At 40.8% G+C, this 26,497-nt stretch overlaps 1 protein-coding gene and 1 non-coding gene across 5 annotated transcripts in view, besides 1 other annotated feature; one reads left to right on the top strand and one right to left on the bottom strand.

The window, feature by feature from the left end:
* The window catches only part of SNX3 (sorting nexin 3), a 49,819-nt gene that overhangs the window by 7,285 nt on the left and 16,037 nt on the right, over positions 1 to 26,497 (bottom strand). For 3 of the 4 annotated variants that reach the window (NM_001300929.2, NM_001300928.2, NM_003795.6), the window contains exon 2: positions 4,444 to 4,539. The exons of the other annotated variant lie outside the window; for it this stretch is intronic. In NM_001300929.2, coding sequence (NP_001287858.1) covers positions 4,444 to 4,539 — 96 coding nt within the window. The remainder of the gene's footprint in view (positions 1 to 4,443; positions 4,540 to 26,497) is intronic. 4 annotated transcript variants of the gene reach the window in all.
* Positions 11,456 to 11,656: a silencer, noted in NCBI's record as "peak6011 fragment used in MPRA reporter construct". NCBI's record gives its function as "represses an SCP1 promoter by STARR-seq MPRAs in K562 erythroleukemia cells {active_cell/tissue: K562}" and the evidence as "EXISTENCE:reporter gene assay evidence [ECO:0000049][PMID:32103011]".
* Positions 24,949 to 25,052, top strand: LOC124901529 (small nucleolar RNA U13). Its single transcript, XR_007059960.1, has one exon. It is a non-coding gene; the product is annotated as a small nucleolar RNA U13 (small nucleolar RNA).

Here is a 26,497-nt window from a genome sequence, read left to right on the forward strand (position 1 = left end):
TGTACTGGTAGGTATATACTGAAAAGAAATGAAAACACATGCAGACAGAAACCTATGCACAAATGTTCACAGCAGCACTACCAATAACAGCCAAAAAGTAGAACAAAATGTCCACCAAATAAGTGTATAAATAAGATGTGGTATAAGCATACAATAGGATATTATTTAGGAATAAAAAGAAATGAAGTAATTGATGCATGTTAGAAAAGCATGAACTGTGAAAACATGTTAAGTGAAAGAAGCCAGACACAAAAGATCACATATTGTGGGCTTCCATTTACATATGCCCAGAATGGGCAAATCCACAGAGAAAGGAGACTAGCAGGTGGTTGCCATAGGCTGAGTGAGGAAGGGTTGGGGAGAAATCAGTGGTGTCTACTAATGGGGACAGGGTTTCTTTTATTGGGTGATAAAAATGCTCTAAAATTGACTAGTGCTCTAAAATAGTGATGGTTGCACAACTCTGTGAACATATTAAAAACCAGTGAATTATACACTTTAAATGGGTGAATTGCATGGTATGTGAATTATATCTCAATAAAGCTGTTACTAAAAACAAAAGCGGTCGGGCGGGGTGGCTCACGCCTGTAATCCCAGCACTTCGGGAGGCCAAGGCGGGCGGATCACAAGGCCAGGAGATCGAGACCGTCTTGCTAACACGGTGAAACCCCGTCTCTACTAAAAATTTTTAAAAAATGAATAAATAAATTTACAAAAAAAAGCAAAATATACACTCAGCAAACGTTTATTAAACATTTCCAGTGTGCCACATGGTATGTCAAGCAAAGCCCAAAGCCTATGTATCAAGACACTTCTCAGCTAGGTGTGGTGGCTCATGCCTGTAATCCCAGCACTTTGGGAGGCCAAGGCAGGAGGATTACTTGAGGCCAGGAATTCAAGACCAGCCTGGGCAACATAGTGAAGCCTCATCCTTACAAAAAATTTTTTAAAATTAGCTGGACATGGTGGCTCATGCCTGTAGTCCCAGCTACTTGGGAGGCTGAGGCAGGAAAATCACTTGAGACCAGGAGTTGGAGGATATTATAGTATGCTATGATCACGCCACCGCATTTCAGCCTGGGCAACAGAGCAAGGCTCTGTCAATCAATCAATCAATCAATCTCCCAACCATCTGTAATTTGTAATATAGTGAGATATAAATCTTTATTTCCTAATAGACAAATATTTCAACTCCATTTGCTGAATTCCTTTCCCACTGAATGACAATGCTATTTTTGTTATGAACTAAATTCCCTATAAATACATGGGTCAAACTCTAAACTCTATTATATTCCACTAATCTATTTGCCCAACCTAAAGCAATATACACTGCATAACAGTGTTTCCCATCAGAGATGGACCACTTAAGATAATAACTGTGGTGCCTTAAGATTATAATGGAGGTGAAAAATTCCTATTGCCTAGAGATGTCTTGGTGATCCTGACTCTGTGCAGGCCTAGGCTACTATGTATATTTGTGACTTAATTTTTAAGAAAAAGTTAAAAAAATTTAAATAGAGAAAAGCTTATAGAATAAGAATATAAAGAACATATTTTTGTACATTTGTTCAATGTGTCTGTGTTTTAAGCTAAGTGTTATTACAAGAGTCAAAAAGTTAAAGTAAAAAGTTTAAAAAGTAAGCTAAGGTTAATTTATTATTGAAGAAAAATATTTTATAAATTATAAATTTCAATGTACAGTGTTTATAAAGCCTGCAGTAATAAACAGTAATGTCCTAGGTCTTCTCATTCACTCGCCACATACTAACTGACTCACCCAGAACAACTTTCAATCCTGCAAGCTCCATTTATGGTAAGTGCCCTATACAGGTGTACTATTTAAAAAATCTTCCATGCTTTAAAAAAAAAAAAGTCTTCCACGCTGTATTTTTTACCATATCTTTTATATGTTTAGATGCACAAATGCTTCCCACTATGTTACAACTGCCTGTAGTATTAAGTACAGTAACATGTTGGATAGGCTTGTAGTCTAGGAGTAATAGGCTGTACCATATAGCCTAGGTGTGTAGTAGGCTACACCACCTGGGTTTGTGTGAGTATACTCATATGATGTTTGCACAAACAATGAAATCACCTAAGGATGCATTTCTTAGAATGTATTCTCATCATTAAGTGCCATATGACTACACCACATTGTTTGAATTACTATAGCCTTAAGATATGTTTTGGGTCAGGCACAGTGGCTCACACCTGTAATCCCAGCACTTTGGGAGGCCGAGGAGGGCGGATCACCTGAGGTCAGGAGTTCGAGACCAGCCTGGCCAACATGATGAAACCCCATCTCTACTAAAAATATAAAAAAAATTAGCCGAGTGTGGTGGTGGGTGCCTGTAATCCCAGCTACTCGGGAGGCTGAGGCAGGAGAATTGCTTGAACCCCGGAGATGGAGGTTGCAGTGAGCCGACATGATGCCACTGCACTCCAGAGTGAGGCTCAGTCTCAAAAAAAAAAAAGATGTTTTGATGTCTGGTAGAACAAATAACCTGCTGCCCACTATATACTGAAAATATTTTTTGGTTATTCTTGAGCTTTTTCTGATTCTAAAGCTCATAAATAAATCTGCAACTTTATAAACAGCCCTACTGAAATTTCTACTACAATCTTATGAATTTATAAATAAGTTAGAAGATACTGCTCTACTTCATGCAGGTCTCTGCTAATGTCACCTAGAGTGAGGCCTTCCCTTGTGCTCTATATGAGAGTGGCTCCCCTGGCACTTCCTACTTCCCTTAGTTTAGCTTTGTTTTTTTTTTTAGAGCTTCTCATCATCTGACATCTATATATTTTACTATATTTTTCCTGCCTTCTCTTCAACAACCCCCTCCCCCGCAATTTACCTAATAGGATATAAGCACCATAAAAGAGGGGACCTTAATTTGTTCATAGCTCTACCTGTAACTCCTAGAACACAAAGGACGAGCTAAAATGTTTATAAAATAAAAAAATCTTCAACAGTAAACATTCCAAACGAGGAATACAGTATTACAAGGAATACAGTATTACACTTTTTTTTTTTTTTTTTTTTTTTTTTTTTTTGAGACAGGGCCTGGCTCTGGTGCCCATGCTGGAGTGCAGGGGCAAGACTACAGCTCACTGCAACCTCTGCCTCCTGGACTCAAAGTGATCCTCTTGCCTCAGCCTCCTGAGTGCTGGGACTACAGGTGCATGTCACCATGCCTGGCTAATTTTTGTATTTTTTGTAGCGATGGGGTTTCGCATGTTGCCCACGCTGGTCTCGAACTCCTTGGCTTAAGTGATCCACCCACGTTGGCCTCCTGAAGTGCTGGGATTACAGGCGTAAGCCACTGCACCTGGCCCCTCTTTATTTAGGTCTGGTCTTTTGGTAAAGTTTGAGAGCTTTCTTAACACAGATTTTGTATTTCTAGTTTTATTCATATTTAAAAATTTTGGAAGAGATGGGGCCTCACTATGTTCCCCAGGCTGGTCTTGAACTGCTGGGCTCAAGAGATCCTCCTGACTCGGCCTACCAAAGTACCGAGATTATAGGCATGAGCCACCATGCCCGGCCTTCTTTACATTTTTGTTGGAATGCTATGATCTGCATATTTTGTGCTCATATGCAGCCACTTTTATCTTAGGCTAGAAACAGAAAAAAAAAGAAAACCCTTATTAAACTTGAGAAATGAGTACAGACTAGCCTTCATCTAGTTCAGGACTCCTACCATACCCACACCTTTTTACCTACTTTCTAGTCACAAAATAACTTTTCATCATTCTGAGCACACCACGTCCTTCCATGACTCCTTGCCTCTGATGTCATTCTGAGGCAGGGCTGAAATGAGAGACACCAGAGTGAGACCTTGCTTTAATTTATTTTGATGCCAAAGCTACCAAATTCTATTCTAAGAGAAGATCAGGCATGTAACAGTGTTTTTAAATTGCCGGCAGCAACCCATTAGTGGATCATGGCCATCATTTAAAAACGCTAATCTGAAGAATATCAGCACATATCACACAGAGTGAGGTCATTACTGCTTTATGAAACTTCTGTTACATGAACATATATGTGATGAAAAAAACTTATATGTCACTAAAACAAAATTGGAAATACACTGACATTTATAAAATGTATTGAGGAAGAGAAACTTGGCTTAAGTGTGTGGAGAGGGGAAGATGGAATAGGACGATGAGGGAAAGGAAGGAAGTAATAGCAACAAGGTTCTAAGAAGTGTTATTGAAGTGTGAGTCAGCAAAGACCTCAACTGGGCCAAAGCAGACAAGAGAAAGAGTTCTAAGGAAAATTTACACAGACTCTACCTCTATAAAATGACACTGAACTATTTGAAAAAAAGAAATCATATTTGCTTTTACCCATTTTATTCAATATCATTTTCCTGAGAAATATTAAACATTAAAACTTGGAATGTTTTGCTTTAAAGTTGCATCATAAATCATTCTTACCTTGCTCTCTCTTTCTAATTCACTTCGCAGCCATTCAAAGTCACTGTATCTTCTTCTAACAGTAGATTCTTTCAGCTTGAAAATAGGAAGATTTGTCTGAAACAAAAAAAGTTAGTCCTAAATTGAAGCACATTAAGGAAACTTCAAAAAAATGGGGGGACGGGTATGGCAAAACAAAAGAAATCATGACTTTCTTTTTCTTTTTTTGAGACAGAATCTCCCTTTGTTGCCTAGGCTGGAGTGCAATGGCACGATCTCGGCTCACTGCAAACTCCACCTCCCAGGTTCAAATGATTTTTCCGCCTCAGCCTCCCAAGTAGCTGGGATTACAGGCACCCACCATCATGCCCAGCTAATTTTTGTATTTTTGTAGAGATGGGGTTTTACCATGTTGCCCAGGCTGGTCTTGAACTCCTGACCTCAGGTGATCCGCCCGCCTCGGCCTCCCAAAGTGCTGGGATTACAGGCATGAGCCACGGCACCCGGCCGAAATCATGATGTTTTTAATATGACCTTTTACCCATAACAAAATAAAACTTTGCTAGTTCTTTTTTTTTTTTTTTTTTTTTTTTTTTTGAGACAGAATCTCACTGTCGCCCAGGCAGTGATGTGATCTTGGCTCACTGCAACCTCCACCTCCTAGGGTCAAGTGATTCTCCTGCCTCAGCCTCCCAAGTAGCTGGGATTACAGGCACTCGCCACCAGGCCTGGCTAATTTTCTTGTATTTTTAGTAGAGGCGGGGTTTCACCATGTTGGCCAGGCTGGTGGTCTCAAACTCCTGACCTCAAGTGATCTGCTGCCTCGGCCTCCCAAAATGCTACGCTTACAGGCCTGAGCCACTGCCTGGCCCACTAGTTCTTTAAAAGTATTTACACAAGAACACAACTTTTAAATGTACCTTTGCATGCATGCTTTTGGATGTCATTCTGCCTGAGGATATTTACATAAATGTAGGTCATTTTCTTATTATTTCAGTGAGCTTTAAAAATGTCAACTAAGCAGGGGTGAAAAAAGGCTAGCTCTTGACTATTCTCCAGCTTAGCTAGTACCTCAGCAAACAGTCCTCATAGGGGAAATATACCTTACCTTTTAATTTTTAAAATTTTATTTTCTTGGTGCTCATTCATCATAGCAAAACCCTAACCTATGTCTCAATGCCTATCACACTGCCCGTTGATGTAGAAGTTCTTTTTCTTCTCCCAGAGACAGGGTCTCACTCCATTGCCCAGGCTGGATTTAAACTCCTAGGCTCCAGCAATCCTCTCGCCTTGGCCTCCCGGGTAGCTGGGACTGCAGGGTCATACCACTGTGCTGGCTCACTTAACTACTTTTTTTGATTTATTTTTTTGAGGCAGAATCTCGCTCTGTCGCCCAGGCTGTAGTGCAGTGGCGTGATCTCGGCTCACTGAGATCTCCGCCGCCTGGGTTCACGCCATTCTCCTGCCTCAGCCTCCCAAGTAGCTGGGACTACAGATGCCCACCACCATGGCTCGCTAATTTTTTGTATTTTTAGTGGAGAGGGGGTTTCACCGTGTTAGCCAGGATGGTCTCCATCTCCTGACCGCGTGATCTGCCCACCTTAGCCTCCCAAAGTGCTGGGATTACAGGCGTGAGCCACCACACCTGGCCCACTTAGCTGCTTCTAAATGAAACCAAAATATTTTGTTATGAGGACTGGATTAGATCTTGCATAATAAAAGACCTAAATAAAACATTATTCTTAATGGCCTTCTAAAAAATGCCAAGAAAAGCAGGGAAAGTGCTGCATACAGTGTCTATGGGTCTTACCCCTAGTAGGAAATTAAATCGTACTCAGTAGACCAAGCTCATAAACCCAGAGCTTTAAAGGCGGAGGGCAAGTTTAAGAACTGAAAACATAACACCCAGTACTTTGAAGTTACACTGGAATGTAAGAAAATTTCTGGAGACTGTTCTTTTTAAGATTGCAAAGGCTACTTGTTGCCACTTCAGTCAACTTCTAAATTTAAAAAAAGTAACATGAAAGATTTCTATTATCTTTTACTGGATCCCCTTTAAAGAAAAAATATGCGGCAGGGCGCGGTGGCTCATGACTGTAATCCCAGCACTTTGAAAGGCTGAGGCGGGCGGATCACGAGGTCAGGAGATCGAGACCATCCTGGCTAACAGGTGAAACCTCGTTTCTACTAAAAATACAAAAAAACCAGCCAGACGTAGTGGCAGGCGCCTGCAGTTCCAGCTACTCAGGAGGCTGAGGCAGGAGAATGGCGTGAACTCAGGAGGCGGAGTTTGCAGTGAGCCGAGATCGCGCCACTGCACTCCAGCCTGGGCGACTGAGCGAGACTCCGTCTCCAAAAACAAAAACAACAACAAGAAAAAATATGCTAGGCCTGGCGTGGTGGCTCACGCCTGTAATCCCAGCTCTTTGGGAGGCCGAGGTGGGCCGATCACAAGGTCAGGAGTTCAAGACCAGCCTGGGCAAGAGACCAGCCTGGGCAGGAGATCAGCCTGGCTAATACGGTGAAACCCTGTCTCCACTAAAAATACAAAACTTAGCTGGGCATGGTGGCGGGCGCCTGCAATCCCAGCTACTTGGGAGGCTGAGGCAGGAGAACTGCTTGAACCCGGGAGGTGGAGGTGGCAGTGAGCCGAAGATCGCTCCACTGCACTCTAGCCTGAGCGACAGAGTGAGACTCTGACTCAAACAAAACAAAACAAAAAAAAGATGCTACCAAATCCAATAAAAAATGGTTTATGACTAAAAACACTAAAGACTATTAGGAGTGGTATGAGACCAGTATTTTATCATTAAGAATAGATTTTAGGCCAGGCATGGTGGCTCATGCCTGTAATCCTAGTGCTTTGGGAGGCTGAGATGGGAGGACTGCTTGAGGCCAAGAGTTACCAGCCTGGGAAACATAAGAAGATTCCATCTCTACAAAAAATAAAATAAATTTACTGGGTATGGTGGCATGTGCCTGTAGTCCTAACTACTTGGGAGGCTGAGGTGGGAGGATCTCTTGAGCCCAGGAGTCAGGAGTTCCAGACTGTAGTGAACTATGATTATGATTGCACCACTGCACTCCAGCATGGGCAACAAATGAGACCCTCTCTCTCAAAAAAAAAAAAAAAAAAAAAAAGGAGAAGAAAGATTTTATTTTATTTGAGAATTTTATTTGAGACAGGGTTTCACTCTGTAACCCAGGCTGGAGAGCAGAGGCATGATCATGGCAGGGTCAAGTCAAGTGATTTCTCCTACCTCAACCCCCTGTGTAGCTCAGACTATAGGCGCATGCCATCACATCTGGCTAATTTTTGTACTTTTGGTGAGACAGGGTTTCACCATGTTGCTCAGGCTGGTCTTGAACTCCTGAGTACACGCAATCCATCTGTATTGGACTCCCAAAGTGCTGGGATTACAGGCATGAGCCACCGTGCCCAGCCAAAAAGATTTTAAAATGTGCAAATTATCACAAAGTTTGTAGGAGACAGAAATGACTTAACATAATAACTAATGCCATACCCTACCAAAAATACTACTCAACACTATATATTCTCTTAGATTATATTCTGTCCGTTAATTCAGACTTTGAACTAATTAGCACAGAATTTGCATAGAACTAAAAAGTGTTTTACAATTGGAAGAAAAAAGTTAAGTGCCACCTGAAGGAAAGACTGGCTTCCTACTGTGTATACAGGGACATCATCTTGTAATATTCACTCCTAAGAAAGTTCTACTTATTTGTTAAGCTTAATGCTACTGGTAAGTAGCTGTCACTCAGCACAAGAAAAGCTTTTAATTCAGGCCCTTAAATCCATTTTGTAGTGGTCTCAATTTTTTCCTAAGTGTATTAACTTCTCTATGTTGTATACCTTACAGCTCAGAATTTTCAACAGATGCTATTGGGCATAACAGTGTATAGGTTTCAAGCATGAAACCAAATCTCACAAGAGATTTAAAAGCACTTGAATTTTCTTTCCCAGGTAACCACAACATTTGTTCATTGTATAAATGACTAAGGAAAAAATTGCACCTAACAAGACTCTTATTATACTAAAAGTCAAGCTTATATTTAAAGATGCTGGCTTGTTGTACAGAGGGTATTCTCATTCCCCACAGGGAATAAAATTAGGTCCCCTGGAGAGTAGAATAATTCCCAGAAAGAAAGCACTGGATTATTTCTCTCTAATTTCACCTATTGGCTTTTTAACCAAGTTCACCCTTCCGCATTAAAATATTAAGTCTTTGTAAATGCCTTAAAGATAAAAAGGCCTTTACAGAGTTGAGTGTTTTCTGCAGGTGAGATTTTACATTCTGAATTCCCTCCTCTCAAATTACTTTACAAAGGGGATTAACTGCTCTCTTTATTCAAATACGTTAAGATCAAGCTTGCGAAAAGAGTCCCCTAAGAATTTTCATACTTCTGGGTACGGAAGTCTATAAAGTTAATCTCTGAAACAACATATCAAGCTTACAGGTACAATGTTGAGAGAAGAGTGCCAATTCAGCTCATTTTACCTTCCATTTTCCCTTTTGAACTTTTGACACAATCATGATTATATCTGATTCACTCTAACAGAAAGGGGAGGGGTGAGGGGGAAAAGTACTTTCCCTTCTATGATTAGCTAATAGTTTGATAGTTTATATACTTAAATTTAGAGGACCATGATTAGCTTAAGAAAGTTCCTTTAGTTTTCTTAACTGGTTATGATTTCTCTTTTTGCATGAGGACTGCTTTAGAGTTTAAAGTCACATCAAGAAATTCAAACATCACTTGCCCATTACATATGCAGTGGTTAACTTAGCCTGTTAAACGTCTTCCTCATCATTACAAGGATTTGTAATTCAATGTAACTGATTAAAATAACTAAGTGCAAAATGTGGGTTTTTTTTTTTTGTTGTTGTTGTTGTTTAAGGTACTGAACTATCACTGCTGAAACTCCTGTGATTGGTCACTTTCAATTTATTTAACTTTCATAAAATGATTGAAGGGCGGAGAGGTTTTTTACCTACAGCTTCAGGAGGACTAAACTATTATTTACTGATCATCTATAAAAGGGCACCATGCTAGATAAGGGAGAATCATTATTTATAATGATGAATAAGATGCAGACCTGGCCCTTATGAAACATACACCAATCAAGGTTAGAAAATAAGCATATAAAAAGTTGAATTTCCATGGTTAAAAATACTACAAACTGGCTGGGCATGATGGCTCAAGCCTGTAATCCCTGTACTTTGGAAGGCTGAGGTGGGAGGATCACAGGAGTTTGAGACCAGGCTGGGCAACATGGTGAGACCCCCATCTCTACAAAAAATAAAAAATTAGCTGGGCAGGCTGGGCGTGGTGGCTCATGCCTGTAATCCCAGCACTTTGGGAGGCCAAGGCGGGTGGATCATCTGAGGTCAGGAGTTCGCGACCAGCCTGGACAACATGGTGAAACCCTGTCTCTACTAAAAACACAAAAATTAGCCAGGCATGGTGGCGGGTACCTGTAATCCCAGCTACTCGGGATGCTGAGGCAGAACTGCTTGAACCCGGGAAGCGGAGACTGCAGTGAACCAAGATTGCGCCACTGCACTCCAGCCTGGGCAACAAGAGCGAAACTCTGTTTAAAAAAAAAAAAATTAGCTGGGTATGGTGGCACATGCCTGTAGTGGGAAGATAAGGTGTCAGGATGGCTTCAGCCTTCGAGGCTGAGGCTGCATGAGCTGTGATCACATCACTCACTGTATTTCAGCCTGGGTGACAGAGGGAGACGGTCTCAAAAAAAAGGGGGGCATTTTGGTGAATACATTATCCATTACTCTATTAAATACACATAACTTTTGAATGAACAATTTCAATGGGAATTAATCCTACAAATATTTCCACACATACAAAAATATTTTAGCATTGTAATAGACACAAAAAAAAACCCCAAAAAAGACCAGAAACAATAAATCTTACATTACAAGCTTATATTACACAGCTTTTTACAAAATATAACTCAGCCATAGGTTAATCAGAAAAGCTGTCTAGAATGTATGACATGTAAAAAGTTTCAGGCTGGGTGCGGTGGCTTATGCCTATAATCCCAGCACTTTGGGAGGCTGAGGCGGGTGGATCACTTGAGGTCAGGAGTTCAAGACCAGCCTGGCCAATACAGTGAAACCCCATCTCTACTAAAAATACAAACATTAGCCGGGTGAGGTGGCACGAGCCTGTAATTCCTGCTACTCCGGAGGCTATGGCAGGATAATCGCTTGAACCCGGGAGGCGGAGGTTGCAGTGAGGTGAGATCATGCCACTGCACTCCAGCCTGGGCGACAGAGCGAGACTCCACCTCAAAAAAAAAAAAAAAAAAAAAGTTTCAGAACAGTATATTATATAGCATAATACCATTTGTATAATATGAAAAGCACGGAAGAATTGACAATTGATTTGGCCCGGATTCATTCATTCTTTCCCCTCCTTTTCTTTCCTTTCCTCAGTCTCTCTGCTTCCCCTCCCTCTCCCCCTCCCTCCCTCCCCTTCCTTCCTTTAGAGACAGGGTCTCCCTAAGTTGCTCAGGCTGGTCTTGAACTCCTGGGCTCAAGGGATCCTTCCACCTCAGCCTCCCAAAGTGCTGGAATATGAGGTGTGAGCCACTGCGTACGGCCAGTCAGGACTCTTTTTCGTTTTGTTTGTTTTTGAGACAGAGTTTCGCTCTTGTCGCCCATGCTAGGGTAAAATGGCGCGAGTGCAATGGCCTCAGCCAGGACTCTTTTAACACAGAGCTAGCCATACTATAAGACAGCTGAAAATGGTGAAAATAGTGTGAGCTAAATGCAGAGAAGAAACAAGTACAGTGTATATTTAGTATATAATTCTTGAATATTCTAAAGCATAGGGAATGATGGGAAATAAAACTGAAAAGTTTAAATTGCACTCTAAATATGGGGCTAAGGTGACTACCTGTGAGCATCAGGAGTTAATAAATATGTTTGAATAGAAAAATGATAGCTATGAACAGAAAAAATAGAACAGAGAAGTTACTACAGAAGTAGAAGCCACAGATGAGCTGCATGTAGCATTAAGGTGTAGAATTAAGAACAGATGGCTCTAGTTGATTCCTAGGTTTATCTGCTTTGAAATGTATGGACAAGAGTCAGACTACTGAGGCAAATTACAGCAAAAATCCCTTAAAGGTTTTATCTTGGATGCCACTTTAAATGCTCTAGATTTACCCAGAAAGAATGCTGAATTCTGAAATTAAATGTAAATCAGGCTTAAATATTGTTAACTTACTTTAAGATGACTAAAACTTTTGAAATTTAAACAGCAAGATTTAGTATTCTCTCACTCTAATATTCATATTTTCCCCCTAATTTTAAGAGAAGTTGCTTAGTATCAGGCTGAGTATAAAGTGGAAGCCACAATTTTCTTCCTAGCTACTGTTCATTTTATTTCTTAACAGGTAAAAGTGTTAAATACAACCATCTGTATGAAATAATATTTGTAGGAAATACAAGAAATATGTTATTTGTGGGAAATAACAATAGATCAGCCGATGTGGGCACAGTGATCACAGACAGGTAAGATGGGAGACAAGCAAAAGTAAAGTACAGCATAGGGCAAGAACCAAAAAGTAAGCCACAGCCTTCATCTATTTGTATAGGTATATACTAGTAAATGCTGAAGATTCTGAGTTTGAGTAACCCTGGACTACTTTAGACTTCAATTTTGTTCATGGAGTTCAAAAGTTCTGCAAATCACGTTTCATCATAAATCTGAAGCAAAGACAGAGGCTCAAATAATCTGGATAGCTCTCAAGGGTTCTATATTAGAAACCCAATATTAACAGTCACTTAAAGCTTATGTCAGGGCCCAAACTAACATTAAAAGAGCAGAGAACTGTAATTACCTGCATCTCAAAAAAGTTAAGTTGGTTTCCTGGAATCCACTGAGTCCATAAAACTATGTTATTCCACACTCAAAACATGCCTTTGTTAATTGTTATTTGCCAAATGCTAGTTAATTTGTTACCACTACTTAGTAACATTTCTTTGGAAAACTATAAAATAGATCACCAACATTATCAAAGAAGACAGGCAAAAAAAGAGGGTCTCCCTGTGTTGCCAAGGGTGGAGCACAGAGGCAACATCCTAGCGCGCTACAGGCACTTGGGCTGGAGGGATCCTCCCACCTCTGGTGGTGTTTTTTTTTTTTTTGAGACACAGTCTCCCTTGTCACTCAGGCTGGAGTGCAATGGCGCGATGTCGGCTCACTGCAACCTCCGCCTCCTGCCTCAGCCTTCCGAGTAGCTGGGATTACAGGCACGCGCCACCACGCCCGGCTAATTTTTTGTATCTTTAGTAGAGACGGGGTTTCACCATGTTGGCCAGGCTGGTCTTGAACTCCTGACCTCGTGATCCACCCGCCTCAACCTCCCAAAGTGCTGAGATTACTGGCATGAGCCACTGCACTCAGCCCTCTGGTTGTTTCTTTAGTCACCTTTAATCTAGAAGAGTCGCCCCCTGTCTTGTTGTCATTCAAGACACTGACAATAAAGAGTTCAGAGCAACATTCTACATTTGGGTTTGTCTGTTTCCTCATGACCAGCTTTGTTTTGCATTGTTGGCAGTAATGTTCCTAAATGGCAGGAGTGTTGATGCTTTCCATCGGAAGGCACATAATGTCAGTTTGTCCCATTACTGGGTCACTTGGTAAGGAGAGGTCAGATTCCTCCAATAGTTATCTTTTCCCCACCTTTTAATTCCTTTTTCCTGAACCAGCCCTTCATAATAAAATTTATTGCCATTTAGAATTTGCCTAGCTAATTCGAACTTACAGAACTATCAGACCACAAAATAAACTCTGCTTCTTAGAGAATTCACATTTTTAGGTGAAGTTATTTATCTAACTTTAACCATTAGGAGAGATTGCTTTACTGAAGGAAAGCCCCACTCCCTGCCAAATACAGTGTGAATATACCGATGTATTAAGTACAGAATGTTTTCAATTTGTTGATTTAATAAACAGAATTAAACAAGGGTTTATAGTCTACTTGGATATTTGTACTCTTCTGGAGAAATTCGGGGTAATGCTCAAGCTGCTGGGTATCTTGCTTTTCATTTGCAAGATGAGAATATATTTTGCTTGGCTTATGAAAAAGTGATGAAATAATTACAAGATCCTGGGACATTCAAAGAACTAGAAAAGAACAAGACTAAAAACCTGAATTGTTCAATGTTATTTTGTTGTTGTCTATTTGTTCTAATATACCAGGAACAAAACTGCAAAGCAATAAAATGTTAAAAGAGATATGTGTATGCCGGATACTCTTAAACTACTATTTTTATAAAAGAGAAACCAGCCATTTTCCACAAAAAGTATTACTAATCACACAGGGTAAGATCATCAGGAATGCAAATGGATATTACATACTAAGGAAAAGATTTCTCAAACCATGGTATAGAGGTCTAAAACAAGTGCTCCCTTCAAGTCTAAGCACAGGAAACTACCACATTATTGGTCTCCAAAAAGGTAGGTCTTATACACTTACACAGGCTGACCTATTAAAGTCAGCAGCTCACAGATACCCTATATGTTACCTGATTATCACTGATAGCCAAGCAGAAAACCAAGCCTCAAAATGTGATCACCTGAATATAGCTTAACAATAGATATTAGAAAAATGTTTACTAGGTGTTTCTAGTATTTCTTCAGATAGTGTCACGTGTACATTTGAAAAGAGACTGGCAACAACATCAAAAGTATATTCAATAGGCCATACTCTATTCAACCAATCCTAAGAGATGTAAATGGATGCCCCACTACAGTTCTCATTAAACAGCTGCATTTCTCCAAATATCTACATCTAGAGATAAAAGATAAACTGAGAAGTGCTTAAGCTATTGCTTCACCCTTCAGTACTTTTGATACCTGTTTTACCCAATCTGGAACAGCATGAATAACTGGAGATATGGTTTATAACCTAGATGAACTCTTAATAAGGCTGAGAAGAAGTCATTTAAATGAAGAATAAGCTTTTAGTCCAGAGAACCTTTGAAATGTAGATTGTCACTAAGCCAACGTATTTAGTTTCTTTCTTTAAAAAATAAGGACATGCCTTCCAGTGATACAATTCCTCCTTATTTTAAAAGAAGTATCCTTTATGGTATAATTTCCAAAACAGTAGAGAATAAATTATCTAGACTAGCTTAAATGCATAAACCAAGGAATTCCAGATACTTTTCCTACATTGTCCATATTCTTCATTTGTGAATTAGCAACAAGACTCATTGGAGAGCTCACACAAGGTTTTCAATGAGTAATCTCTAATGAAACTGTGCATTAATAATTCTATTTTAAAGGAAAATTCATTCATAACAATTCATGAAGATTTACATAATCCTACAGGCTTATGCTGAAATAAAACTGTCTATTAATAGTCTAACACCTTTTTTGGACAATCTTTAAAATGCAAAACTATTTTCTGGTGTCTTCCCAACTTGTCCAATCCTAAGAAACACACTCAAGTGACGCCAACTAGAGAATCTCATGCAACTGATCTAGGGTGGAATCTGAAAATCAGTATTTTCAAATGATTCTCAAGTGCATCCAGGGTCAAGAACTGCTGCCCTAGGAGTTCGAGACCAGCCTGGCCAACACGGTGAAACCCTGTCTCTACTAAAAATACAAAAATTAGCCGGGCATGGTGGCACACGCCTGTAATCCCAGCTACTCGGGAGGCTGAGGTGGGAGAATCGCTTGAGCCCGGGAGGCGGAGGTTGCAGTGAGCCAAGGTTGTTCCAGTGCACTCCAGCCTGGCTGAAAGAGCGAATAACTGCTGCCCTAGAGTTAATAAATGTGAAAGAGGGTAGGAACTTGGGAATTTGTACAATCACCAAGTAATTCTGGTTTAGCTTAGCTGGGACAGATATGGGCGATAATATTTTACCTCTTTAAGGGTAGTGATTTGGAATAATACTGTGAGAATGGAGTGTAAAGTCATTATAAGTAAAACTGTGATGTGGAAGCCAGTTAAAGAATATTGGTTAAGAAGCTCTATTCAGTAAGTACTCGTATTTTCTAAGCTTCTACATATGGTGCATCAGGCAGCTATGGACTACAGGGATCTCAAGACATCCTCCTCAAGGGTTATATTTACATTATATTTACAGTGTAAAGAGGGGGTGGGGAGGGGAGAGCGGAATACTCTTCCAAGATTCATTACATGTAGCATTTACAGCCGCAATTTATCACACAGCTCTTTGATGTTTGAATGAAAGGGTGGAGACCAGTATTTGAGTAATCAAGGCAAAATTAAAATATATAAAAAACATATATATATATATATAACATATACATGTGACAGCTGGGTGCAGTGGCTCACGCCTGTAATCCCAGCACTTTGGGAGGCCGAGGCGGGTGGATCACCTGAGGTCAGGAGTTCAAGACCAGCCTGGCCAATATGGCAAAACCCGTTTCTACCAAAAGCATAAAAATTAGCCAGGCGTGGAGGCATGTGCCTGTAGTTCCAGCTACTCGGAGGCTGAGGCAGGAGAATCGCTTGAACCCAAGAGGCGGAGGTTGCGGTGAGCCAAAATTGCACCACTGCACTCTAGCCTGGGCAACAGAGTGAGGCTCTGTCTCAAAAAAACAAAACAAAACAAAACATATACATGTGAATATATTGAGTTTGCATGGTAGACTTATAAAAGATATCCTTACAATTAAAAAACATACATATTGACTTGTAGATACTCCATTTCAGTATATAGCCTTTTAGATTTTTATATATACAAATCTTATTTTTATTAAATATATTATCAGTTTCTCATATCATTAACATGATTATATACAGACATCCCTGGGTGAGAGGCTGTATAGTACAATGATGAAGCACACAGTTCTGGAACTAGAAAATCTGGCTTTAATCTGGATTCCTGCATTAACCAGCTATCTAACTCTAGGCAAAATGCAATGGATGAAAACTAAATGAAGCCTTGATACAGATCCAGGGAGTTTAAATATTTTCCTTAGAATAAACCCTAAAGGTGAAATTACTAGGCCAAAGACTATAAATGTTAAGTCTTCGAGTTGTCCTCCAGAAAGGCTACTTTGCTATAGAATGAGAAGGAACACTGCAGTAGTAGTAGCTACTTTGGTAGCCTACAACAAACCATGACACTCAATATTTAAATATCTTTTTGTATCCTCTCTCACATTGGCTTGGCCATGTGACTGCCTTTGATCAAACATTTGTGAATTGGGGCCTGTCCTCTTGGAACATTTGTTCATAAAGACATTCTCTCTTGCGATCCTGTCACCGTTATTCTGTGAGAAGTCTAACTCTCCCCATGAAGGAGAACTGAGGACCTGATCTACATCTCCATCTGATATCCCAGCTGGCAGCCAGCCATATGACCGAGTTATCTCAAAAATAAATCCTCCAGTCCCAGTCAAGTGGCCCCACAGATATCAAGTGGAACAGAGACAAGCCATGACTTCAAGACCTGACCAAACTGTAGAACTGTAATGAAGTGAATGTTTAATTGTAACTGTTTTCGGTCACCAACTTTTAGGGTTTTTACATAGCAATAATCAACTGAAGCAATAACCTGACTTTGGTAGAGTTATGCTAAACAAGATGCAGATCATGAGAAGACAGTATTTCATCTCTAAAAACTTGGTAACTCAAAAGTACATAGACTTGGGCCAGGCACGGTGGCTCACACCTGTAATCCCAGCATGTTGGGATGCCGAGGTGGGTGAATCACTTGAGGTCAGGAGATCACGACTAGCCTGCCCAATATGGTAAAACCTCGTCTCTACTAAAAATACAAAAATTAGCCGGGCATGGTGGTGCATGCCTGTAGTCCCAGCTACTTGGGAGGCTGAGGCACAAGAATCACATGAAAGCGGAGGTTGCAGTGAGCTGATACCACGCACTGCACTCCAGCCTCGGCGACAGAGTGAGACTCTACCTCAAAAAAAGAAAAAGTATATAGACTTGTTATTTATTCAACTCTTCGCTGTTTAGTTCTTTTCTACTTCCTTAATTAGCTTCTGATTATATTCTGAGTAGTTGAAGTTCCTCAATAATACAGAAAAGTCAATTAATTCTCAATTATTCAGCAAGGAAAGTATTCCTTCATAATTTAGAAATCTGATAAAATCAGCTAAAGTTTTTCTATGCTAAAGAAAGGTAAGATTCTAAATAAAAACTGTAATTGAAGACTGAGTTGCTCTCTACAATAAATAACTTAATAAACCTCTAAGAATAGTCATATGAAACAGTTTTGGCCGGGCACGATGGTTCGTGCCTGTAATCCCAGGACTTTGGGAGGCTGAAGCAGGATGATTGCTTGAAGCCAGGAGTTCAATACCAACCTGGCCAACAAGCAAGACCCTGTCTCTCTCTCTACCTCTCTTTATATATATATATATAAAACAGTTTCCACCTATATTATTATTATTATTTTTTTTTTTTTTTTTTTTTTTGAGACGGAGTCTCGCTCTGTCGCCCAGGCTGGAGTGCAGTGGCGGGATCTCGGCTCACTGCAAGCTCCGCCTCCTGGGTTCACGCCATTCTCCTGCCTCAGCCTCCCGAGTAGCTGGGACTACAGGCGCCCGCCACTACGCCCGGCTAATTTTTTGTATTTTTAGTAGAGACGGGGTTTCACCGTTTTTTTTTAGCCGGGATGGTCTCGATCTCCTGACCTCGTGATCCGCCCGCCTCGGCCTCCCAAAGTGCTGGGATTACAGGCGTGAGCCACCGTGCCCGGCTTCCACCTATATTATAAAAGAACAAAACTAAGCTGTTTCTTCAAAGCTTGAAGTATTACTTGGAAAACTATAAAAAACATGAAAATGAATGTTTAATAAGTCTAAATTCTCTAACACATGAGTGATACATATATTAATAAACTCTTCCAGTCAGAGTGATTAGCTATAACAGCAACTAGACATCATGACATTAAACACTATACACACGCATATGCTTTAAATTTGCAGATTGACAGTAGTGCCATTACAATACTTTACTCCTTTCATAAAGCTCCACAAAGAATGTTTATTGTTCTAACAGTCTGACAGTACTCAAATCACTTAACATAAAAATCTTTTTATTAGAAATGGAAAGTAACTCTTTGTCTAAGAATCCCCTAAATAAACCACGGCTAAGAGAAGCTGCAACTTGCCATCAAAAGTTTCAATACATAATCAGCTTAGCACAATTTAAAATATTTTCTGGCTACTATATCTTCTTTAACTGTTAGGTATAATAAGTGGTTGAGGTAGAGCTGGAGAGCAGAATATTCTGGTTCTTTTCCTCATAATTTAAAATTGATTTCTAAGTACTTTGGCCACCTTTCTCTCCACCTTCCAATACCTTCCCCTCTACTCTGAGTTGCAGAGTTTGTAAGAAAAGGATATCATTCCAGATCCTTTATCTCTAGCCCTCAAATCTTACTTGGAAGCATGGTAAGATTTTAAACCATGATATCTATAAATATTGATTATGGCAGCTCATTAGCCATTAAAATGATGTTACTTAGAATGCTAATAAGTGTACAACATAAAAGGCATTAAGAATCTACCATGAGGCCAGGTGCGGTGGCTCACGCCTGTAATCTCAGCACTTTGGGAGGCCGAGGCAGGCGGATCGATCACCTAAAGTCAAGAGCTCGAGACCAGCCTGGCTAACATGGTGAAGCCCCACCTCTACTAAAAATACAAAAATTAGCCAGGCATGGTGGTGAGCGCCTGTAATCCAGCTACTCAGGAGGCTGAGGCAGGAGAATCACGTGAACCAGGGAGGCGGAGATTGCAGTGAGCTGAGATCGTGGCACTGCACTCCAGCCTGAGGGACAAGAGTGAGACTCTATTTCAAAAAAAAAAAGAATCTACCATGATGGGCTGGGTGTAGTGGCTTGTGTCTGTAATCCCAGCACCTTGGAAGGCTGAGGTGGGCTGATCACTTGAACTCAGGAGTTTGAGACCAGCCTTGGCAACATAGCAAAACCCTATCTTCACTAAAAATACAAAATTAGCCCGGCATGGTGGCACGCGCCTGTAGTCTCAGCTACTCGGGAGGCTGAAGTGGGAGATCACCTGAGCCCAGGAGGTCAAGGATGAAGATGAAGTAAGCTGAGATGGCACCACTGCACTCCAGCCTGGGCAACAAAGTGAGATCCTGTCTCAAAAAAAAAAAAAAAAAAACAAACAAAAAAAGAATCAACTATAATGGATACCCCTCTCCTCCAAAAAGAATCTACCATGAACTAAGTACATGAACATTGTCCCTGCATTAGCTGATTTTATGACACAGTTAAGAATTATAAGAGGATACCCAAGCAGAGTAGGTGTCACAGAACAGACAAACATAGGTCAGGAAAGAGAATTAAAGAGATGGAATACCACTGGGGAGGTTTCTGTAAGAGAGTACATAATCTTTGGAGTACATTGTGATAAAAACATGTATATACAATGTTTTAGGCTCAGAGGCTTTAAAGCTAACAAAAATTTTCTAAGTATACTTTTTACAGCCACTTACACCACTACATATCAAAAGTGTTCATGAGAGCCAGGTGCGGTGGCATGTGCCTGTAGTCCCAGCTACTAGGGAGCCTGAGGTAGGCGGATCCTTTGAGCCCAGGAATTTGAGGGCAGCCTAGGCAACACAGTGAAACCTCCACCTCAACCGCCATAAAAAAGAAAATTTTTTTAAAAAGTGTCCAAGTTTTCATGCTTGTATTTGTGGATGAAGAGTTTAAAGCCTCTTATTTTTCCGCTCACCTAAGAAATTCCAGGTTTTATTCACTAAGGCTGTATCTTACAGAAACACACAAAGTTCAAATAATTGGTATATCACTTTTGTAGTGGAAGTTCTTGACATGTTGCATGGGGTGGGGGGAAAATGCAAACAAACATATGTAAGTATAATTCAATATTTGCTTTGTACCAATGATAGGAGCTAACCACAAACTTGTGACACCTTTTCTTTCTTTTTTTTTTTTTGGAGACAGAGTCTCACATGGTCACCCAGGCTGGAGTGCCATGTGCAATCTCGGTTCACTCAAACCTCCACCTCCTAGGTTCAAGCGATTTTCCTATGTCAGCCTCCCGAGTAGCTGGAATTACATGCATGTGCCCCCACACCCAGCTAATTTTTTTGTATTTTTAGTAGAGACGGGGTTTCGCCACATTGGCCAGGCTGTTCTCGAACTCCTGACCTCAGGTGATCCACCCGCCTCAGCCTCCCAAAGTGCTGGGATTACAGGCGTGAGCCACTGTGCCTAGCCCTTGACACCTTTTCTGATTCCTGGAAGTAGCAGGGAAAAATGAATTAGTCAAGCAGACCCGGGTTCGACTCCTCTTTCTGGAACTCATTAACAGTACGATCATGCCAAATTACTTTCCTTCTCTAATCTGAGTTTTACCATCTTTAAAATGAGCCAGGTGCAGTGGCTCATGTTTGTAATCCCAGCTACTCAGGAGCACTGCTTGAGGCCAAGAGTTCAAGACAAGCCTGGGCAATATAGCAAGACCCTGTCTCTTAAAAGAAAAAGAAAGAAAATACTGTCACTTACCTTAATAATTAAGTAGAAACTATTATTATACATTCTTCTCACACATTCTCACAAGTTATCACTTACTGAATACTTAATGTAGGGCAAATATTATGCCTTAAGTCACATTTACTCCTCTGAAGTTTTATTTTATGGCCGAAGACATTCAAAAGAGAAGAATTAAGTAACTTGTTCAAGGTCACATGTCCATTAACAGAGAGAGGATTCTTACACACGTTCAACTTCAAAGTCCATGCTCTAAAGTCACACTATGGTTATAGTACTTGACCCAAAGCAGATATTAAATAAACCTTTAAAACTCTACTAAATGAGCATTTAATGAATATCTCAACAACTACTATGTTCAAGGGGCCTGGAAATATTTGATTAAGAAGCTTCTAAAAACATTTAAACACTGCATAAAAAGTGTTTCTGAGCACCTATAAATTAAGAGTAAAAGCATAATAATGTGAAGAAAAACATAATATGAATAAGACCATTTCTCTTAAAAATATGAGAACCTAAAAGAAAGGTATAAAGTAAAAAGGTAAAGGGGGAACTGCTGGAATAGTAGAGTGAGCTCAACAGAGCGTCTCTCCAAAATTCAATGAAAAAACTAGACAAACATGTCAAACCACTATATCAGAACTCAGGAAAGTGGGCACAGGTGTATAACAAATTGAAAAGTAATCATTCAAGAAAAACTACTCAACTCAGTTATGAAGAGCAGAAGTCTGTGTGTGGGTTTGTTTTTGTTTTTGTTTTTGAGAAGGAGTCTCGCTCTTGTTGCCCAGGCTGGAGTGCAGTGGTGCGACCTCGGCTCACTGTAACCTCTGCCTCACTGGTTCAAGCAATTCTCCTGCCTCAGCTTCCCAAGTAGCTGGGATTACCGGCACCCACCACCACGCCTGGCTAATTTTTGTATTTTTAGTAGATATGGAGTTTCACCATGTTAGCAAGGCTGGTCTCAAAATCCTGACCTCAGGTGATCCACACGCCCTGGCCTCCCAAAGTGTTGGGATTACAGGCATGAGCCACCATGCCCGGCCAGAAGTCTGTGTGTTTTAACCTAGGGCTATTGTTACCATGCTCCACCAGCTCTATCAATGGTAGTTCTACCAGGATGTGGCAAGCTGTGAAAACCAACACCATCACTGCTGGAGGGGGGCCACTGGTCAGGAGTAGAATATAGAAGTCCCAAATGCAGGACTATTGTTGAAACCAACAGCAACATTGGCAGCAAACAGTGGGGAAGGCTAATATTGCGGCAACCCAAGGTTGCAATACTGGGGGCAAGCAATGAACCAGCAGACTTACCAGAAGAATTACATAGCCATGGTGGGGCCTTGATTAACTCCCAAGTATCTGTGGAGGTCTGAAAATCTGTGTGATGTCGGGCGCAGTGGCTCACGCCTATAATCCTAGCACTTTGGGAGGCTGAGGCGGGTGGATCACGAGGTCAGGAGTTCGAGACCACCCTGGCCAACACGGTGAAACCCTGTCTCTACTAAAAATACAAAAAATTAGCTGGGCATAGGGGTACATGCCTGTAATCCCAGCTACTTGGGAGTCTGAGACAAGAGAATCACTTGAACCTGGGAGGTGGAGGTTGCAGTGAACCACGATTGCGCGCCACTGCACTCGAGCCTGAGCGATAGAGCAAGACTCCGTCTCAAAAAAAAAAAAAAAAAAAAAAAAAAGTATGTGTGCTTACACAAAGCTGTATGCATGCTCAGCTGGAGAGAACCCTAGTTATCTAAACATCCATGGCTGAATGAGACCTTTCACAGACAAGGGAGAGCCATGGACATGAGAAGACGGCACGAAGTAAAAGCTGGGGCGAACTTGTAAACTGCCTGAACTTTGACTTGTTCCCCAACCTGCACTGGCAAAAAGCAGAAGCTGGTCAGGTGCAGTGGCTCACGTCTGTAATCCTAGTACTTTGGGAGGCCAAGGTGGGAGGACTGCTTGAGGCCAGGAGTTCAAGACCAACCTGGCCAACAGAACAAGATCCTGTCTCTTAAAAAAAGAAAAAGGCTGAAGCCTCACTGGCTCAAGTAGCTACGCATAACCTTTGACCAGTCATTTCTGACCACTGAGATAAGCTGACAAACTGACTCAGGGTGACCCTTAGAAAACCTGGCTTAAAAAAAAAAAATTGATCCGTGCTATCACCACCTCATACTACAGACTTAATGTGGGCAAGTCCCTAAAAAAAATAAATAGCAACCACCACCTCCCCTTTGGGGAGGGGCAGGAGGCAATCTAACTCAGAGTCTCTACAACGTATTATCTAAAATGTTCAGTTTAACAAAAAATTATGAGACATGCAAAGAAACTGGAAAGTGTGAGCCATAGACAGGAGGATAAAAAGTCAGAAAATGTCTCTGGGGTGGTTCAGCTGTTCAGCTGTCCAGGATTTCCAAGCAGCTATCAATATGTTCAAATTAAAGGAAACCATGCTTAAAGAACTGAAAGACAGCATGATGACAATGATTCAAGGAATAGAGAATCTCAACAAAAAGATTATTTAAAAAACACTGAATTGGACCTCTACAGCTGAAAAGTATAATAGCTGAAATGAAAAATTAACTGAAGGGGATCAACAGTGGATTCAAACTGGCAGACAAAAGCATCAGCAAACTTGAAGACACATCAAGAAACTGTCCATTCTGAAAAGCAGAAAGAAAGAAAAAAATAAGAATGAACAGAGCATCAGGGACCTGTAGGATACTAACAAGCATATCAACACACATGTAATGGGAGTCCCACGATGAGAGAAAGAAACAATAAATAATGGCTGAAAACTTAAAAAAATTTGACTAAACCCTTAATCTATACATCCAAGAAGCTCAATGAACTCTAAGTAGGATAAACACAAAGAGATTCCCACCCAATAAACATCACAGTAAAAAGCCAAAGAAAAGCAAAATCTTGAATACAGTGGCAAGAGAAATCTACTCATCACTACAGGGGACCCATAATAAGATTAACAGCTGACTTCTCACCAGAAACAATGGAGACAAGGAAGCAACAGCATATTCAGAGCGCTCAAAGAAAAAAAGAAAATCAACAAAGAATTCCCTATCCAGCGTGGTAGGCTGAATTCCAAGATGGTGCCTAAAATTGCCACCCCTTGGCATACACACCTCCCCTAGAATGTGAGTGAGGCCTATGAATGCAATGGATGTCACTTCCATAATTAGGTTACATTACATGGCAAAGGTGAAGGGATTTTACAGATGTTAAACTCCCTAATCAGTTTGACTTTGACTTCACCAAGTTTTGTGAGTAGTCTTGACTTAATTAGGTGAGCCCCTTAAAAGGGGGCTTTAGTCTTCCCTGAGATCAAAGAGATTTTTTCCACTGGCCTTTAAGAGGAAGGCTACTCTAAACTTACAGCTCCAAGAAAATTAATACTGCCCACAACTATGTAAGCCTGGAAGAGAACTCCCGGGCCTCAGATGAAACCACAACCCCGACCAACCTCCTTGATTGTAGGCAATTGTGAGACCCTGAGCAAAAAGTCCAGACAAGCCATATTCAGACTTCTCACTTACAGAAACTTGTGAGATGATATTTGGTGGTGTTTTTAAAATAATTTAAAACTCCATTTACTTATTTAAATTTTTACTTTTTTTAAGAGACAGCGTCTTGCTTATTTCCCAGGCTGGAGTGCAGGCTATTTACAGGCATGATCACAGCACACTGCAGCTGCCTCAAACTCCTGGGCTAAAGTGATTCTCCTGTCTTAGCCTCCTGTGTAGATGAGACTATAGGCACAAACCACTGCACCTGGCTGGGGGTGTTCTGAGGGCTACAATTGTGGTAATTTTTAATTCAGCAATAAAAAACTAATACATCTAACAAGACTATCCTTCAAAAATAAAAATATAAGACAGTCCCAGACAAAAAAACAAAACAAAACAAAAAAACTACAAGCCTTCATGGTTAGCAGACCTGACTTAGAAGAAATGCTAAAGAAATCCTTCTGTAGTTTGTAAGCATGATGATTGGGTTTTCATGCTCATGTGTGTGACATGCCTCCTTCAAACCTTGTTATGACTTCAGCACATTACCCATCTGATGGGAACCTTAGAAAAAGAAAAAAGAAATACTAAAGAAAGCCCTTCCGGCTGAAAAAAATGATACCAGATAGTAAATGAAATCCACATGAAGAGCCAGGCTTGGTGGCTGACACCTGTAATCCCAGCATTTTAGGAAGCCGAGGGCGGGGTGGATCACCTGAGGTCGAGAGTTTGAGACCAGCCTGGTCAACATGGTGAATCTCCGTCTCTACTGCAAATACAAAAACCAGCCAGGCATGGTGGTACGAGCCTGTAATCCCAGCTACTTGGAAGGCTGAGGCACAAGAATCGCATGAACCTGGGAGGTGAAGGTTGCAGTGAGCCAAGATCATGCCACTGCATCCCAGCCTGGGTAAGAAAGTGAGACTGCCTCAAAAATCAAAACAGGTTAAAAGTGAAAGGACAGAAAATTACATACCCTGCAAATACTCATAAGAAAACTGGACTGGCTATATTAGTATCAGATAAAGTAGACTGTAAAACACAATAGATGACTAAGAACTGAGAGTTCTTGGCAAAAAGACATAAAGAACTACTTTTTTCCTTGCTTTGATAGTTTGAAGGGAAAGAAACTGCCCTCTCCAGTTCTCCCCCGCTTTTTTTTTCTTCTTTATGAGATGGTGGGTCTCACTCTGTCACCCAGGCTGGAGTGCAGCAGTGCAATCCTGGCCTACTGCAACCTCGACCTCCTGGGCTCAAACAATCCTCCCACCTCAGTCTCCCGAGTAGCTGGGACTATAGGTGCATGCCACCATACCTAGCTAATTTTTATTTTTTGTAGAGAGGAGGGTCTCACTATGTTACCCAGACTGGTTTTTAACTCTTGACCTCAAGTGATCCTCCTGCTTTGGCCTTCCAAAGTGCTGGCATTACAGGAGATAGCCACTGTACCTGGCCCCTCCATACTGTTTGTTTCCATATTTATTACTGTGGTAAAATATACATAATATAAAATTATTTTAAGCATGTTTAAGTGTACAGAGTTCTGTGGCATTAAGTAAATCCATATTGTTATGCAAACATCACCACCATCAATCTCTGGAATAACCACATTTAAAATAATATAGTCTATAAGAATATAAGTAAGGAGTTTTTTTTTTTTTTTTTTTTTTTTGCTCTGTTGTTGCCAGGCGGGAGTGCAGTGGCATGATCTCAGCTCACTGCAACTTCCACCTCGTGGGTTCAAGAAATTCTGTCTCAGCTTTCCCAGTAGCTGGGACTACAGGCATGCACCACCATGCCCAGCTAATTTTTTGTGTTTTCAGTAGAGACGGGGTTTCGCCATGTTGCCAGTCTGGTCTCGAACTCCTGACCTCAAGTAATCCACCTGCCTCGGCCTCCTAAACTGCTGGGGTTACAGGCATGAGCCACTGTGCCCGGCCAAGAAAATAAGAAATTTTCTTTTTAGTTCTGGGATACACGTGCAAAAAAACGTGCAGGTTTGTT

The sequence above is a fragment of the Homo sapiens genome, chromosome 6 (assembly GCF_000001405.40).
Source record: "Homo sapiens chromosome 6, GRCh38.p14 Primary Assembly".
In the NCBI taxonomy this organism is placed as follows: domain Eukaryota; kingdom Metazoa; phylum Chordata; class Mammalia; order Primates; family Hominidae; genus Homo; species Homo sapiens.